Raw genomic sequence first — 18,171 nt, 5'->3', positions numbered from 1 at the left:
TCTCAGGTGATCTGCCAGCTTTGGCCTCCCAGAGTGCTGGGATTACAGTTGTGAGCCACTGTGCCCAGCCAATATTCTTAATTTTTAAAGAGCTATTTACATACTAATAATTTAAGCTACATTCAAAGTTTAAAATAGACACACATTTCACAAAAGAAATAACGATTGACAAATAAACATGGTAATGTGATCCAATACAGAAGAAATTTTACCAAACTATAAGCAGTTGTTATTTGGGGGCATTGGGATTCTTTACGTTTTTCAGTAGTTTCAGTATAAATTACTTTTATAATAAGGAAAAATATAAATATAACATTTAAAGCCACTCATTATGTTAGTATAGTGCTTCTAGGATATTATTTGATTATATTCATCAAGTCATAAAAATACACTTATTAAATTAGTATTTCCATTTCTAAAAATTTGTCTTGGGAAAATAATTGTGAAGATCATGGAAGGGGAAAATATCTTCATGAATATGTTTCTTGTTATATTGTTTATTATAATGAAACATTAAAATCTAAATTTTTAAGAATTATGATATATTAGGTAGCCATTAAACCTGTTATAATATTAGGTAGCCTTTAAAAATAATAATCACAAAGACTTTCAACTCATGTAGGGAGAAAATTGATATATGAAGTAAGAAATACAGAATCAAAAATTGTATCTATAATTACATCTATTTAAAGACACACATGAAATATAAATATAACTTAGAAGGAAAAATTTAAAAAGTAAAATAGCTATGTTAATGTTTTAAATGTGTTACGTTAGTAAGATTGTGAGGGGTTTTCTTCCTATTCTATTTTGTTGTAAAAACTGGGAGAAAGGAAAAAAAAATCCAAAATGCATGCAGAGAAAGAAGAAAATAAAAATAACTCCGTGTCCCTTTTATTCCCTATTTGTGTCTCCTATAGAAAGTTTATTTCCTCTTCTCAGCAAAAAGCTATGTTATCTACTCATGTGATTGAGAAATGACGTTTGTAGTTTACCTTGAAATGCATCCAAATAAAGATGGATTAATAGGTGCATAGATATGTAATAAAGTAAATGTAGCAAAATGTTAGCAATGATGGAATCAAGATGGTTTTTTCAACTTTTCTGTATTTTTGAAAAACATTTATGATAAAATGTTAGAAGTAAATTATTTTGAATGCCCTTTAGGAGAAAATGAGAAAAATAATAGCTAATTGTTAAAGTTACAAGTGATATTCACTAAGGAATTATTTTAATTTCCTATCTGCATTATAAATCAACATGTATACTGACCACCTCTGAGATACTGTCCTTAACAAGGTAGCATGCATCTGAAATAAACTGTGATCTCATGTCTCTCTCTCTCTCTCTAGCTACTTTGTTTTCCTTTATCTTACAAAAGACAGTCGTTTCCTCACCATAAATATTATGAACAAGACTACTTCTGAAGTGTGGTTGATAGATGGCCTGAGCCCTTGGGACCCACCAGTACTTATCCAGAAGCGAATACATGGGGTCCTTTACTATGTTGAACACAGAGATGATGAATTATACATTCTCACTAATGTTGGAGAACCTACAGAATTTAAGGTAATCCTGGATGCTCGTTGTTCCTATTTGGGCTGTTAAGAAGTGTCACACTTCGATCAACAACATTTCTTGCTCCAAGAGCTCATTGTTTTATAAATTGATGCCACCTTCCTATGTATAACCAATCCCATTTCTTTTCCCTTAGAGCTAATGCCTCTACATATTTTAATTGTGCCTAAAAAGTTAGTAAATAAAACATATTCTGTCCTGAGTTTATGTTAACAAAATCAAACTTAGTAGCTTAAAAGAGCAAACTTACAAACTCGTGATTTTATGAGTTGGCAATTTGGATTGATCTCAGCTAGGCAGTTCTTCTGCTGATATCAGCTAAGCTCACTGATGTATCTGTAGTCAGCTAGCTGTCAGTGCCCTCACTCAAATGTCCAGTGGTTGGCTAAGCACTGGATATACTGTCTCACCACCCAGCAGGCTAGTCAGGACTCATTCATATGGTTGATGGTCACACTTTATCCCTGATGCAGCGTTAGTTCCTTCAGCTCTTCATAAAACAGTGAGGACTAGTATGGTCTAGTTCTCAGTGATTGCATCTCTGGATGCTGCAGCCTTCGTGTTTTCTTACCTATATGTCTTCTAACTTTGTTCCACGTAGCTAATGAGAACAGCGGCTGATACCCCTGCAATTATGAATTGGGATTTATTTTTTACAATGAAGAGAAATACAAAAGTGATAGACTTGGACATGTTTAAGGATCACTGTGTTCTATTTCTGAAGCACAGCAATCTCCTTTATGTTAATGTGATTGGTCTGGCTGATGATTCAGTTCGGTCTCTAAAGGTATGTTTAATTTTCAGAAGTTAATACTGTTAATCAAAATATTTATGCAGTTTAGCTTAACAGAACATCACATTTTGAATAGTGGCAGCAGTGTTCTTTTTCTTGAAAGGAATGTAACTTAAATGGAATTTAGCAAAGTCACTCTTGGGTTTAGGAGGGTTATCTTAGAATTACTTAGAGGATCTTGCTTTTTATGCAGTTTTACTTAAGATAGTGTCTTATGGCATGGACTTCACAAGTAGAGTTGAGTGCTAATATTTCTCTTTCTGTATATCTCTCTACCTCACATATCTCTGCAACTTGAGATATAGTAAAAACTCAGGCCAAAGTTGGTAGCTAGTGCCTAAACACTGACTGCTGTTCCCCCATCCCACATCCCCAACAGGGACAGTAGTGGTATCCACTGTGTTTTTAGCCACTACATGCTTTTGTCTGCATCATCTTCTGTCTGCCAGTTTTCTTATCCGCAGGGGATGCAGGGAACAAACTTTGGTTTCTTTCAGTGTAGGAGTAGCAGTGGTCTCCACAGCAGCACAGAAGGCTAATAGTGGCAAGACTGCTTGGCAAGCTGACTAGTTGATACTGCTTGTGGCTACCAGGAAAGATAACCTGCCTTCACAAGTGAACTTCCTAAAATTGGTGAATGACAACCTTATTGCCTAGTTTTAAAGCAGCATTAACATGTGAGTTGAGGTAGTAGGCACTGAAGGGAAGAGGATGGCTTCCATTTTGTTTGATATGAAAAGAGTTACTGAGCCAGTTGATGAGCAAACAGCATAGACCATTTATACCTCCCTAACTCCAATATTCTTAAAACTCCTGTAAAAATGCAATTTCAGTCAATTCAGTGGCTTTTTATTGAACTTTCATGTGCACAATACTGTATCGGGCATTATAGAATCGAAAGCTGTTAAAGCAGAATATCCTAGCCTTAAGGAAGATATAGTTAATCACAAGATTAAACTAGTACATAAAGGTTAAGTGTATCATGGATTTGAATAAGTAGTATCAAAAACATAAAATGTGCTGTGGGGCTCAAACTAGAGAAGAAGGCCCAGGAAAGCTTTTGGTAAAGTTGGTTGAATGTGAAATAAACCAGAGAAGAGAGATAGGATTTTGACAGGTGGAGAGGGGATGGTATTCCAAGATGAGAAAGCCATCAAATGAAGCTGTATGCTCTGACATTCAGAAAATGTTCAGGAAACTGTTAATTATTCTGTTTTATTAAAGCGCTATACATTTCTGGGGGATGAAGTCATGATTTGACTTTTTGTGAGTGTCAATATGAGGAATTTATTAATTATGAAAGGTAACATTTGAAGTTTTTGAGCAGGGGAATGGTTTGAGGAGTGGCAGCCATATTAGGATACACTAAACCAAAAAGAAGTAAGGGGCAGGAAGCTAGTTTTGAGATTGTTTTATTGGTATAAATAAGAAATAACAAGGGCCTGAAATAACTGAAATCTCCAGCTACTCCCTAAAATCAAAAGATCAAATGTAATGTCCAGTCTCTTAGAACACTATGTAAGTGTCCTAAAACCAAAATGGTGACTGACTTGGAGGGATGTCCTTATTGTCTTCATCTGCTGGAGTGCAAAGTATTTCTTTTCACTTGCTAATTTTAAAAATTTTAATATTATTATTTTAGATAGCATTTCTTTTTTTTTAACTTTTACTTTCAGGGGTACATGTGCAGGTTGGTTTAATAGATAAATTGTCTGCCACAGGGGTTTGATATACGTATTATTTTGTCACCCAGGTAATAAGTATAGTACCCAATAGGTAGTTTTTCAATCCTCACCCTCCTTCAACCCTCAGGTAGGCCCCAGTGTCTGTTATTCTCTTCCTTGTGTCCATGTGGACACAATGTTTAGCTCCCACTTATAAGTGAGAACATGGGGTGTTTGATTTTCTGTTCCTCTGTTGGCTTGCTTAGGATAATGGCCTCCAGCTTCATCCATGTTGCTGCAAAGAACATTATCTCTTTTTTATGGCTGTGTAGTATTCTATGGTATATATGTACCACATTTTCTGTATCCAGTCTATCATTGATGGACATTTAGGTTGATTCCATGTCTTTGCTATTGTGATGAACATAATGTGTGCATGTGTCTTTATGGTAGAGCGATTTGTATTCCTTTGGTTATATATCCAATAATGGGATTGCTGAGTCAAATAGTAGTTCTGTTTTACATTCTTTGAGAAATTCCCAAACTGCTTTCCACAGTGGCTGAACTTACATTTCCACTAGCAGTGTATAAGCTTTCCCTTTTTTCTACAGCCTCACCAGCATCTGTTATATTTTGACTTTTTAACTACAGTCATTCTAACTGATGTGAGATGGTATCTCGTTGTGGTTTAGATTTGCATTCCTCTAATGGTTAGTGATGTTGAGCATTTTTTTCATATGCTTGTTGGCTGCATGTATGTCTTCTTTTAAAAATATCTGTTCATGTCCTTTGCCCACTTTTTTATGGTGTTGGGGTTTTTTTCTGTTTTTGTTTGTTTTGCTTGTTAATATAAGTTCCTTATAAATTCTGGATACTAGATCTTTGTCAGATGCATAGTTTGTAAATATTTTCTCCCATTCTGTAGGTTGTCTATTTACTCTGTTGATAGTTTATTTTGCTGTGCAGGAACTCTTTAGTTTCCAGTTGCTGATTTTTGTTTTTGTTGCAATTGCTTTTGGCATCTTTGTCATAAAATCTTTGCCTTTCTGTAGAATTATATTTCCTAGGTTTTCTTCAAGGGTTTTTATAGTCTTAGGTTTTACATTTAAGTCTTTAATTCATCTTGAGTTGATTTGTATATATGGTGTAAGGAAGGGGTCCAGTTTTCAATCTTCTGCCTATGGCTAACCATTTACATGTTAACTGGTGCCAAATTTAGACATCTTCAGTTGGGAAACTGGTGGAGCATCTATTATTATTTCAGTCTGTATGAATAAGAATGGGAGAGAATATGTAATTTCTAGCAATGCACTTGTTAGAACAAAATTCTATGTCAGGAAAGTTAGAAATGTCATGTGGAGTTTACTCTGCTATATGATTTGACTTCTAAGTAAATATGACCTTTTATATTTTTTGTAAGTATTCTTATTTTAAAGATATGCCCCAGTTTCCATGGTTTTAAATTCCACTGGAACAAACATTATGTCTTTAATTTATTCTGTATCTTCTATCTCTTCATTTTCTGACCCTTCCCAAATGATAGTACCTATTACGACTTTTATAATGTTCTAGTCATCATCAAGTGGAATTAAATACTTCTTGATCTTTCTGGTTAGTACCTGGTATATAATAAAGAGAATTTTATAGATCAGACCCTTTTTATGAGCCTGAATAATATTAATTAATATACATAGACAGTGCCATCCATACACGAAAGACAAAATCTTTAACCATAGCGTGAGTGCATTATAAAATATTTCTTTATGCAGTATCTCTGCCTGGTGGGCACTTGATTAAAAGATCTTTTTAAATTCAATCTCAGCCTGTAATCCCAGCACTTTGGGAGACCAAGGCAGGCGGATCACCTGAGGTCAGGAGTTCAAGACCACCCTGGCCAACATGGCAAAACCCTGTCTCTACTAAAAATACAAAAAATATAAAATACAAAGAATACTAAAAATACAAAAACTAGCCAGGCGTGGTGGCAGGTGCCTATAGTCCGAGCTATTCTGGAGGCTGAGGCAGGAGAGTCACTTGAAGCCGAGAGCTGGAGGCTGCAGTGAGCCGAGATCACGCCACTGCATTCCAGCCTGGGTGCAAGAGCAAGACTCCGTCTCTAAATAAATAAATAAATTCTATCTTAGCAACAGAAATGTAAAACCCTTCACATATTTGCCTCGTATCCTTGGTCACCATGCCATCAGTATTTTCTGGAAGTATTTTTTTTTGTCACAAAAAGAAGTTATGATATTTAATTTAGGCCAGTTGGGACGTTTTTTGCTGTATGCTAACATCAGTTTTATTTAGAGGAGGAGTCTGCATATTCAGGCCAATTTTCTTTCGGCATGTATGTCTTATTCTTTTGATGAAATAACTATAGTTTGCTGGTAGAGTGCTAAAACTGAACCTGTTTCTCTCAGGTATCTAAGGAATGTCTCCCTATCTCCTGGCCTACTTACTCTCTGGTGCTGTCCATTAATATACACAGATACACTGCAGGCTTATCTGAATAGGAAATGTGGCTTAAGATATCCTTGAGTTAGTTAATACTTATATCTGCATTAGCTGGATGAACTTCTAAAAGTCCATAGCCTTGAAACAGTTTTTATTATGATTAAAACATTAATGTTGGTCCCATTAGTTTTAGAAAAACACCAAAAATACTTTTTGATTTATTGGAACCACTTGGTCTAAAGCTAAGACAGCTTACTGCGTGGGTCACATAGAGACTGTCCTGAAGTCTCATCAAAGGGCAGAAAAACTTGAGCTTCCATGGGCTAAGGAACCTTGTACCCTCGCTCTGAGGCCTGGTTATGAGGTTTGTAGCAGTGCTTCCTTTTTTTCCCCTCTCAAGTCTCAGTTTGCTTGCTTATAACTATGCTACCAGATTTCTCAATTTTTGTTTACATTTTACTCTCCAGTTATGGCTTAAATTTAAATAGACAAGTTATCCTTTAAAACAACCCTCAATGTGAGAAGCATACATTAGGAGCTTTTAGAGATTGCAGATGTGTGTCCTTACTAGTGTTTCATGAAAATAGATTTTTTTTTTTTATTAATAAGAGATTTGCTCAGAGAACGTAAACTCTGGCTGTAGTTGCTGCAGGTGGAATGGTATCCCCTTTACGCACAAATCCCCGGCTGCCCTTTTTCAATAGTGCCCACCAGTGATGTTTCTGTGCCTCTGATTTTCTAAGGAATTTGCTCTTTCTACAATTACTCAGGAAAAGAAAGGCAATTTTCTTTTAATGTTCTGCCTCTCGGTACCATTTCTAACGCTCTGTCAACCTGCTTACCAGAGTTCTTTAAAAGGTGTAAGAGGGATGTTAGTGCAAGGCTTGAAGCTGGACCCTGCTGCTCTGAGAGAATAAATTTTGATTCCTTTCCTTTTTTCTTAAAGTTAAGAACCTTGAGTATAATAGCTGTGAGTCTCTCAGAGTAGATGTGCCAGAAGAGGTTTTGTTCTGCACAATGGTTAGCCTAGGAGCTAAAAGTTAGAAACAAATTGCAAATGCCTTAATGCTGCTGAGCCCGTTTATAGCCCTGAAATAATAACTGTCATCACTGTGGCTGTCCAGGCAGCAGGGTAAGGACTAGTGGGTAAATTATGAAAAACACACGCATGTGAGGAATTTCACGTTCTTTGAGAACAGAGATCTTGGCAGTGTCGGTGGGTTCTGGAATTACTATTTGATTTGCTCTTATTCTTCCATTTTACTATTTTATTATCCAAGATTATACCCCAAAATAAACTTTTATGTTAAAGGCAATTTCATGTAAAGCTAGAATCATGATAAATCATTTTCCTATAGTTTGTCTTATTTTATTGGTCATTAATGTACAGTTTTGTTTTTTATTTGAAATGTATGTTGTTGTGATAAAGTAATCCTTGAATGAGGCATGACGTGGTAACAAAAAGTAAACGAGATATCCACATCATCTTGTTTGGAGAAGACTTAGAAATTTAATTAATGATACTTGGTGGCCTAAATAAAGAATAAAAATAGCTGTTGTATTTCTTTAGCTCCCTCCTTGGGCCTGTGGATTCATAATGGATACAAATTCTGACCCAAAGAACTGCCCCTTTCAACTTTGCTCTCCAATACGTCCCCCAAAATATTACACATACAAGTTTGCAGAAGGCAAACTGTTTGAGGAAACTGGGCATGAAGACCCAATCACAAAGACTAGTCGCGTTTTACGTCTAGAAGCCAAAAGCAAGGTAGGTCTTATAATCTTCACTTTCAGCTCCCATTTACTGAAAGCATACCGTTTGCCAGATGCCATGCAGTTGTTGGAGTTACATTAGCACGGTTTCCTAATGTAGATTTCTTAGACCACAGTAATACCCAAGTGACTTTAGGGATAGGTGAATTTTTTTTAACCTTAATATTCATGTTTGTTTTAACATGGATTAGAAAATTTATAGCATGTCGGCCGGGCACGGTGGCTCACGCCTGTAATCCCAGCACTTTGGGAGGCCGAGGCGGGTGGATCACGAGGTCAGGAGATCGAGACCATCCTGGCTAACACGGTGAAACCCCATCTCTACTAAAAATACACAAAATTAGCTGGGCATGGTGGCGGGCGCCTGTAGTCCCAGCTACTTGGGAGGCTGAGGCAGGAGAATGGCGTGAACCCAGGAGGCGGAGCATGCAGTGAGCCTAGATCGTGCCACTGCACTCCAGCCTGGGCTACAGAGCAAGACTCCGTCTCAAAAAAAAAAAAAAAAAAGAAAATTTATAGCATGTCAAACTTTTTATTTTACATGTTGTTTATGTCTGATTTTTTAAAGTTGATTTTAAGAAAAAATTAATAGAGTTGGTATGTAGTTATGGCAAAAATAGTGAAGGTGGTAGTTGACTAGAGTAAACTAGACTGATACAGTCCCTGCCCTCATGGAGCATACATCTAGCAGGAAAGATGACATGTTTAAAAAGTCATTAATAATGTACTGACTGCTGCAAAGGAGGACATACTGAGTACAGTGGGAGCATAGAGCAAAGGGATTTTACCTAGTCTAGAGAGATCAGGGAAGTTTTCTCCAAGGAAGTTATGTCTCAGGTAAGACCACTAGGATGATTAAGAGTAAACTAGAAAGGAGATAGGGGATTCCATTTTGTATAGAGGCCCTGAATTTGGGGAGAAATTATACAATTCAAGAAGTGTAGGGCTGGCCGGGCACAGTGGCTCACACCTATAATCCCAGCACTTTGGGAGGCTGAGGCGGGCAGATCACGAGGTCGAGACCAGCCTGGCCAATATGGTGAAACCCCATCTCTACTAAAAATACAAAAAATTAGCCGGGTGTGGTGGCAGGTGCCTGTAATGTCAGCTACTCAGGAGGCTGAGGCAGGAGAATCCTTTGAACCCAGGAGGCAGAGGTTGCAGTGAGCCAAGACCTCACCACTGCTCTCCAGCCTACAGAAGAAGTGTAGGGCTAGGCACAGTGGCTCAAACTTGTAATCCCAACACTTTGGGAGGCCAAGCTGGGAGGATCACTTGAGCCCAGAAGTTAGAAACCAACCTGGGCAATATAGTGAGACCTCATCTCTACAAAAACCAAAAATATTAGCCAGGCATGGTGGCATATGCTTGTAGTCCCTGCTTCTTGGGAACCTGATGTGGGAGGATTGCTTGAGCCCAGGAGGTTGAGGCTGCAGTGAGTTGTGATTGCGCCATTGCATTCCAGCCTGTGTGACAGAGTAAGATCCTGTCTCAGAAAAAGAACAAATATAAAGGAGGCCATTATGGCCAAAATCAAGTAAAAGAGGGAAGATTGGCAGGGTGAGGAGTAGAGAGAGATGAGACACAGAAAAGGAAATAACAAATATCCATATTCCAGGTATACTCAATATACAGAATATACAAATTTATGCAAGTAGGGAACAAATTAATATGTAAACTATAGCCTTGAATTTAAGGAAACCTCAGACTTTAGCATATCATATATCAGATAATTTCACATGTGCTGACACAATGAATTACAACACAAGCCTTTTATTCTTAGGAATTTTTTTCTTTAATTCATTTATTTTTCTCTGACAATCTTTAAGTAAATATTAATATTTTTATATTACAAAAGCAATACATGCTTGTTGAACAGATGCAAAAATACAGAACAAATCTTAAATGACTACTTCTCAGTACCATTTGCTTGCTGCACCTCTTAGAAATAATCATTGTTACCCACTTAGTGTATTATCTTTTAGATAGGTTTTATTTGGTTTTACAAACATGGAATTAGACTAGTCTATCAAAATGTTGCAATTATTGGACCCGAGATGGAAAGAACAGTTAAGCACCATGTTCTTGGAGAGCCAAGAGGGGAGAAGGGAAGCAGCTGCTGAATGGAAGCGCTATACCTTTCCACAGGCATTTTAGTACTGCTGGCAAACCCAGATCCAGCCCATCACAGGAGTAGCTACTGTTTTACCTCTTCCTTTCAAAACTTTTCAACAAGCAACTTTTTCTGATTGTATAATTGAAGTTGGGGAAGAGTTGGGAAGTGAAAAGACCAAGAGTGTTTTATAGAAATTAATCTACATCAAGTTTTATAAAAGTGAATCTTACTAAAAGTGAAAGTTAACAATGTCATAACAACTTGGGTATTTTAAAGAAGAATGAGAGGAGAATTTCCTCCTTATTTGATTACATTTTGCTGTCTCCAGTTATTGCCCCAAAGTGAAGTTTTCAAAATGAGAATGAAAATATGAAGAGTGACTTGGATGTATTATTTATTTTCTTTATGTAAACGGTGCTATTTCATTAGTTTAAGCAGGGTGAAAACCAATTTCTTTATCTTTTTTGTGTGAAAGGTAGATCAGAATTAGTTCTTTTGTCTGTTCAGAGACTGCCTAGTTTCAATCAACTGGAACTGATGAGTTTGAGCTACATTGGGGGATGGTTACATAACCTACAAGTAACTTAGTAACCTTACAAATAATTTAACTTACTTTAACCCTACAAAGAATTTTACCGAAAAATTTTAAGACCACTTTAAATTTTTTTTAATAAAGTTAAATGGGCCTTTGAAGAGGATTGTGGTAGTTATCAGTAACATCAGTAAGATTTCAGGTCTTAATGGTTGAGAATTCCGACTACAGAGGATATAGAAAATTGAGCTGGTAAGACTTTAGTCAGCATATTTGTAGATACTCAAAAGTGAAAAATGCCAATATCTAGCTCTTAGGCATAGGAAGAGTGCTATACTAGGACTTCTAACCTTGGTAAGTATTTTGGTTTCATCTGAAAATTTAAAATTATAGTAGGTAGTGAAGAACTCTTTAAAATTACATTATTGTCATGAAAAGCTGCATTTAATAAAATGTTTTCAGGCCAGTCTTGCTGCTCTTTTCTGGTTAATACTGTAGGACAGCAAGGTAGCTGAAACCAAAAGCCATGATTTATTTTTAGAGACCATAATTCTTTTTCTTAAACAAATTTGTGCTCAACATCAGTAGGTAGCACACAAGTGGGGACAGTGCACCTCAATGTATTTTAAATTGGGATAAAACAGTTATTATAAAAGACTCTTCTTTACATACATAGTAATTCTTCATTTCTAGGATGGAAAATTAGTGCCAATGACTGTTTTCCACAAAACTGACTCTGAGGACTTGCAGAAGAAACCTCTCTTGGTACATGTATATGGAGCTTATGGAATGGATTTGAAAATGAATTTCAGGCCTGAGAGGCGGGTCCTGGTGGATGATGGATGGATATTAGCATACTGCCATGTTCGGTGAGTCAGTATATTTTACCTGGCATGTAAGTGCTAGACCATTGTGAGAGATGTCAAGAATAACAATATATATCAGGGAACAAAAGCTTATTTTTTTCATTCTTATTATTCAATTTTTGTATTCCTAAACCAGCACTGGTGAAACTTGATTCTTTAACAGATTAGTTGATCCAAAAAGCAAAAGGATAGGTTTTTAGGATTTTTGCATAGAGGTACCAGACTCTGTACTTATTTAGTAATATTATTATTTCCTTTCAGTTCTCCTGAATTCAGGTTTAAGTAGCCTCTGAATCTGAACTGTTTTCCATTTAACTTCCATTTTATTTCAGCTGTTTTCAAGACACAAATATTATTTTGTATTTCTGCTTAAAATTCTTCTCCACCTCCCCATCTCTAGAACACAGTCCAGATTCCCCAGTATAATACTCCTAATGGTCTGATGGATCTCTGTAGCGGCATTTAGCATCAGACCCTTTTTTTTTTTTTTTTTTTTTTTTTGTTTGAGACAGTTTTGCTTTGTCGCCCAGGCTGGAGTGCAGTGGCACAATCTCGGCTCACTGCAACCTCTGCCTCCCAGGTTCAAGTGATTCTCATGCTTCAGGCTCCTGAGTAGCTGGGACTACAGGCGCACACCACCACACTGTCTGAATTTTTTTTTTTTTTTTTTTGAGATAGAATCTTGCTCTGTCGCCCAGGCTGGAGTGTGCAGTGGCATGATCTTGGCCAGGGTTCAAGCGATTCTCCTGCCTCAGCCTCCTGAGTAGCTGGGATTACAGGTGCCTGCCATAACTCCTGACTAATTTTTGAAATTTTTGTAGCGATGGGGTTTCACCATGTTGGCCAGGCTGGTCTCGAACTCCTGACCTCAAGTGATCCGCCCGCCTCAGCCTCCCAAAGTGCTGGGATTACAGGCATGAGCCACCGTACCAGCCCGATTTTTTTGTATTTTAGTAGAGACAGGGTTTTCCAATGTTGCCCAGGCTGGTCTCGAACTCCTGAGCTCAAGCAGTCCGCCCGCCTCAGCCTTCCAAAATCATGTCCTTTTATTTTTTTTATTTTGTTTTGTATTTTTTTGAGATGGAGTCTCACTCTGTCTCCCAGGCTAGAGTGCAGTGGCGCAATCTCCGCTCACTGCAACCTCCGCCTCCCAGGTTCAAGTAATTCTCTTGCCTCAGCCTCCCGAGTAGTTGGGCTTATAGGCACGCACCACCACACCTGGCTAATTTTTTCTATTTTTAGGAGAGACGGGGGTTTCACCATGTTGGCCAGTCTGGTCTCAAACTCCTGACCTCAAGTGACCTGCTCACCTCAGCCTACCAAAATGCTGAGATGACAGGCTTGAGGCACTGTGTCCAGCCCCCAAAGTCATGTCTTTTAAATGACATGCTCTGTCACCTCCTTGCCCTTATACATGCTGTGTCGTATCTGTGTCTTAATGCCTTTTCTTTGCCCTCTGGAAACTCAAATTTTTCCTTCACAACTCAGTTTAGGCATCATCTCCTTAAAAGCATTTGTGTTCCTGACTCGTGTATATACCCCTCACCTGGCAGATGGATGTTCTTTCCTCTGCTCCTGTAATACCTTAAATACACTTGTATTGTAGCAATGACACCACATTGCTGGGTAAGTCGTTGTTTTCTTACCCCACAAAATTACTGTCTTCTCCACGGTAGGGGATTTTCGTTTGTTTCTACTTTTAAGGTCTGTACTTAATCCCTGATAAATGGGCAGGCACTCAAAATATATTCGTTGAATCAATTCTGGATTGTCTATATCAGGAGTTGGCAAACCTTTTTCTCTAAAGAGCTACATAGTCACATTTTAAGCTTTGCAGGCCGCGTACAGTTTCTGTTGCACATTCCTTGTTTTCACTCAACCTTTAAAAAGCAAAAACCAGTCTTAGCTCCAGGGCCACACAAAAAACAGGCCTCCAGGTGTAGTTCGCTGACCCCAGCCTACAGTATTAACTTTTTTTTTCCACTAAAACTTTTTTGCCCTTCAATTTCAGAGGTGGTGGTGAGTTAGGCCTCCAGTGGCACGCTGATGGCCGCCTAACTAAAAAACTCAATGGCCTTGCTGATTTAGAGGCTTGCATTAAGACGCTTCATGGCCAAGGCTTTTCTCAGCCAAGTCTAACAACCCTGACTGCTTTCAGTGCTGGAGGGGTGCTTGCAGGAGCATTGTGTAATTCTAATCCAGAGCTGGTGAGAGCGGTGACTTTGGAGGTGAGTACGCTCTGTCTCTACTGTTTATAGAATGGGGGAGGTGTGAAGCCATAGGCTACTCTAAGAAAAATGTTTTTGGGCTGGCACAGCGGCTCATGCCTGTAATCCCAGCACTTCGGGAAACTGAGGTGGGCAGATTGCTTACCAGGAGCTCGAGACCAGCCTGGGCAACATGGCGAGACCCTGTCTCTGCAAGAAATTAAAAAAAAAAAAAAACCTACCCAGGCTTGTTGGTAAGAGGATCTCTTAAGAGGTTGAGGCTGCAGTGGACCACTGTGCTCCAGCCTGGGCAACAGAGTGAGACATTGTCAAAAAAAAAAAAAAAAAAGGAAAGAAAAACATTTCTGTTACAGTTTTACCATAGCATAGGAGTATAACAAAGCTTTTAAGTTTTAAACTCAGAATTATAGCTTGAGGAGAACTTCTAAAGTTATTTTAATCCAACTATTAACCGTTATTCTTCTCTGATACAGTGTTCTTTATTATCTTTAAGGCTTTCCACTGAAAGATATTAATGGCTATTTCCATTGCTCATTTGTATTTGTAAGGACATTTAGAATTGGTGAAAAAGCACTGAAGCATATATGAGTCCCAGTTGAGAAAGCCAGGCAAAGCACGCTGTGACTCTGGAATGCACTGAGTCCTTTGGCTCCTGGTCACCTTGACAGGCTACTGCCCATCAACATTTCAGTCCTAGATTTATAGGCTCTTTATTTTTAGATAGTCCATTCTTAATGGTCGTTTGGGCATAGTTTTTCCGTATTTTAATTGAAATATCTTACCCTGTTCTGAAAATGATTATCTTTTCCCAGTGTCAGAAATTACGAAGTTACATTGTAGCAGTTGGTTTCACTGCTATCATTCTCCTACTTCTAGGTTACTCTGAAAAATAATGACTGAGATGGGAGAGAGTAAATTATTTTCAGGATTTTTTATTTTGAGGTTGGGGAGTTTATACTGTGGGCTTGTAAATAAGTGTTAAATAGTAGTCACCTGTAAGTCTATTTTTTAAAAACAGAAAAATGTGGAGAATAGCCTATGCACAAAGATAATGGCAGAATTATTTACAGTTTAAAGACAAAGCAACTAGATTTTGACTTTTAGAAATTTAAAAGGAAATGATGAGAAGGATATTTATGCTAGGTTGCTTATTATAGTGAAGACTAGGAGACAACCTTTTATACATGTATAAGTCAAATTCTTCTTATAAGCACCAAAAATCAACCCTAATTTAAGCAGAAAAGGGATTAAAGGGCATTAGGAAAATGTAGGTGTCTTCAGACCAGTGTTAGAGGCTTCAGAGCCAAAGGCATAGAATTGGCCCAATGAAACTATTACTGCCGCCACTGCCAAGCACAAATCACCTCACACTGCCAGTGCAACTTCTAGAGCTGGATATAGCTGTGGCACTTTTGCCAGAATAAATTATCTGTGATCACTGCTTCTTTGAATCACTAACTTTCCATGCAGAGTGTAAAGCACATGTGTCTGGTTGATAGACCCAAGTCACACATGGGTCACACAGCTACTCCCAAGCTGCAGGGAAAAATGGGAAAGAGAAGTCTAGCACTTAGTATCTCCACAGTGAGAGGCAGGCTCTAGCTGATAAGGTTGGAGGTTTTTCAAATGCAAAAAAGTTCATATGGTAGGCAGCCAAAAAGAATTACAGATGACTCACTATACTTGGTTAATGTTAATATGAGGGAAAGCTAAAAAGTATGTTAACAGAAGAAAATAAAGCTAAGTGAAAAATACAGCCTTCATTTTTGTTTTGTTGTTTTTGTGGGGTTTTTGTTTTTTTGTTTTGTTTTGTTTTGTTTTTTGAGTCAGAGTTTTGCTCTTTCACCCAGGCTGGAATGCAATGGCACACGAACACAGCTCACTACAGCCTCGACCTCTGGGGCTCAGGTGATCCTCCCACCTCAGCCTCCTGAGTATCTGGGACTACAGGCATGTGCCACCATGCCCTGCTAATTTTTGTGGTTTGTTGTTGTTTTGTAGAGATGTGGTTTTACCATGCTACCCAGGCTAGTTTCAAACTCCTGGGCTCAAGTGATTTGCCCACCTCAGCCTCCCAATGTGCTGGGATTACAGGCATGAGCCACCATGTGCGACCCAGCCTTCGTTTTATTAAATTTTGTAACACTAATTATAAGCCAATGGGTTGTTTTCTCTTCTTTCACCTTGGGTATTTTGCAGAGTTTCTTTACTTAGCGTTTTTTGCTTTTAATATAAAATGTCCAACTGGTCAAAAAGACTTTATTCCTTGTGTATTTTTTTCATTTAAAAATTTTTAATTATGGTAAAATACCATAAAATTTACCATCTCAACCATTTTTAAGTGAATAGTTCAGTAGTGGTAAGTGCACTCATAGGCTTATGCAGTCAATCTCCAGAACTCGTTTTTCATCTTAACAAAACTGAAACCCTGTACCGATTAAACAGCTCTCCATTTGCTTCTTCCCACAGCCTCTGTCTCTGTGAATTTGACTACTCAAACACCTCACATAGGTGGAGTCATACAAAATTTTTTGTGACTGGCTTATTTCACTTAGATTATATCCTTGAGGTTCATCCATATTGTAGCGTGGATCAGAATTTTATTCATTTTTAAGGCTGAATAATATTCCATGTAATATTGCATGTGTATACCACATTTTGCTTATTCGTTCTTTGGTTAATGGACACTTGAGTTGCTTCCACCTTTTGGCTGTTGTGAATATGCTGCTGTGAACATAGGTATGCAGATCTCTTTAAGACCCTGCTTTCAGTTTTGGGGATTATATGCCAGGAGTGGAATTGCTGGATCATATGGTAATCTTAAGCTTAACTCTTTGATGAACCACCATACTGTTTTCCAAAGCAGCTCCCCCATTTTACATTCCAACCACCAGTGTATCAGGATTCCGGTTTCTCCACATTACTGCCAATACTTGTTGTTGTTGTTGTTGTTTTAATATAATAACTAACTGTCCTAATTGGTATGAGACAGTAGCATTTATTGCTTTTATATAAGAAAAAATATAAATGAATAAAAGGTACTAAGCTAAAAATAAATATTGTGAAATTAGAAGATAAACCATTTCTTGTTATATGTCATTTAAGGAATCTGAAGACTTTAAAAGTAGGTTATAAATTACAGGCCCTGGTTAAGGACTGAGTATTCTAGCTCCTAGGAATCTACATGGCTTGAGTTATTTTCTCTCATATTAGTATGTATATTCATAAAATAGAATGTTTTTCTGAAACTCACTTACCAACCTCTTACTTGAAGTATAAGTTTCTTTGCCTTTTTTTTAGGCACCTTTCTTGGATGTTCTCAACACCATGATGGACACTACACTTCCTCTGACATTAGAAGAATTAGAAGAATGGGGGAATCCTTCATCTGATGAAAAACACAAGAACTACATAAAACGTTACTGTCCCTATCAAAATATTAAACCTCAGGTAGTGAAAGACAATTGTGTTAGATTATCCTGAATTTACACAGAAGATAATAAAAAAAAAACTTATCCAAGCTGAAGCAAAAATAGGAGCTTTAGAGATGTTTCTACTTATGATGCCCAAATATCTTCAGCACCATCTCTGCTCATGCTCCATGTTTAATACCTCAGGGGAATAGACTTATCATGCCTTAATTACTAAATTAGCTAAGGTCCTTTAGTCAAGAAAAGGCTATTCCAGATAACAAGTAGTCTACTACTGTAATACTGAGGCGCTCTCAAGATAGCAAGTGAGAAAAAGCATAGAGCACTTACAGGGAAAAATTGGAGGTAATTATTTTTCATAGTCTCTATAGTGGCAAGGGACCATAAGAAATAATGTAAACTCTTCGTGCATGTATTTTCTTTCAGCATTATCCTTCAATTCACATAACGGCATATGAAAACGATGAACGGGTACCTCTGAAAGGAATTGTAAGTTATACTGAGAAACTCAAGGAAGCCATCGCGGAGCATGCTAAGGACACAGGTGAAGGTAGGAGACCCCCTAGAAGCAGGGAACATGGCCAAACAGACTACTACCCACAGCACACTGCTCAGAGGAATATATTTCAGGCTGTAGCCAAATCATCTGCCCAGGATTTAGGGCAAACAATTATTTTGCTATGTTGACTCCCCAGTTAAAGTGTACGTAACTACATGTCTATACATACACTGCCTC

The 18,171-nt window shown here is 37.8% G+C and overlaps 1 protein-coding gene across 17 annotated transcripts in view, besides 1 other annotated feature; it reads left to right on the top strand.

The window, feature by feature from the left end:
* Positions 1–18,171, top strand: part of PREPL (prolyl endopeptidase like) — a 44,256-nt gene that overhangs the window by 21,147 nt on the left and 4,938 nt on the right. For 15 of the 17 annotated variants that reach the window (NM_001171617.1, XM_047446444.1, NM_001171603.1 and 12 more), the window contains 7 exons: positions 1,353–1,569; positions 2,180–2,365; positions 8,060–8,257; positions 11,604–11,779; positions 13,788–14,004; positions 17,305–17,454; positions 17,862–17,985. In NM_001171617.1, the coding sequence (NP_001165088.1) occupies positions 1,353–1,569; positions 2,180–2,365; positions 8,060–8,257; positions 11,604–11,779; positions 13,788–14,004; positions 17,305–17,454; positions 17,862–17,985 (1,268 nt within the window). The remainder of the gene's footprint in view (positions 1–1,352; positions 1,570–2,179; positions 2,366–8,059; positions 8,258–11,603; positions 11,780–13,787; positions 14,005–17,304; positions 17,455–17,861; positions 17,986–18,171) is intronic. The other 2 variants (NM_001042385.2, NM_001042386.2) reach the window with 2 other exon arrangements.
* Positions 8,713–8,886: a silencer, noted in NCBI's record as "fragment chr2:44558969-44559142 (GRCh37/hg19 assembly coordinates)". NCBI's record gives its function as "represses an EF-1alpha promoter that drives an FKBP-Casp9 reporter gene in an ReSE screen in K562 erythroleukemia cells {active_cell/tissue: K562}" and the evidence as "EXISTENCE:reporter gene assay evidence [ECO:0000049][PMID:32094911]".

This window comes from Homo sapiens, chromosome 2 (genome assembly GCF_000001405.40).
Source record: "Homo sapiens chromosome 2, GRCh38.p14 Primary Assembly".
NCBI lineage: Eukaryota > Metazoa > Chordata > Mammalia > Primates > Hominidae > Homo > Homo sapiens.
Note: the sequence above shows the minus strand (reverse complement) of the source record. Positions and strands in the feature narration are given on the sequence as shown.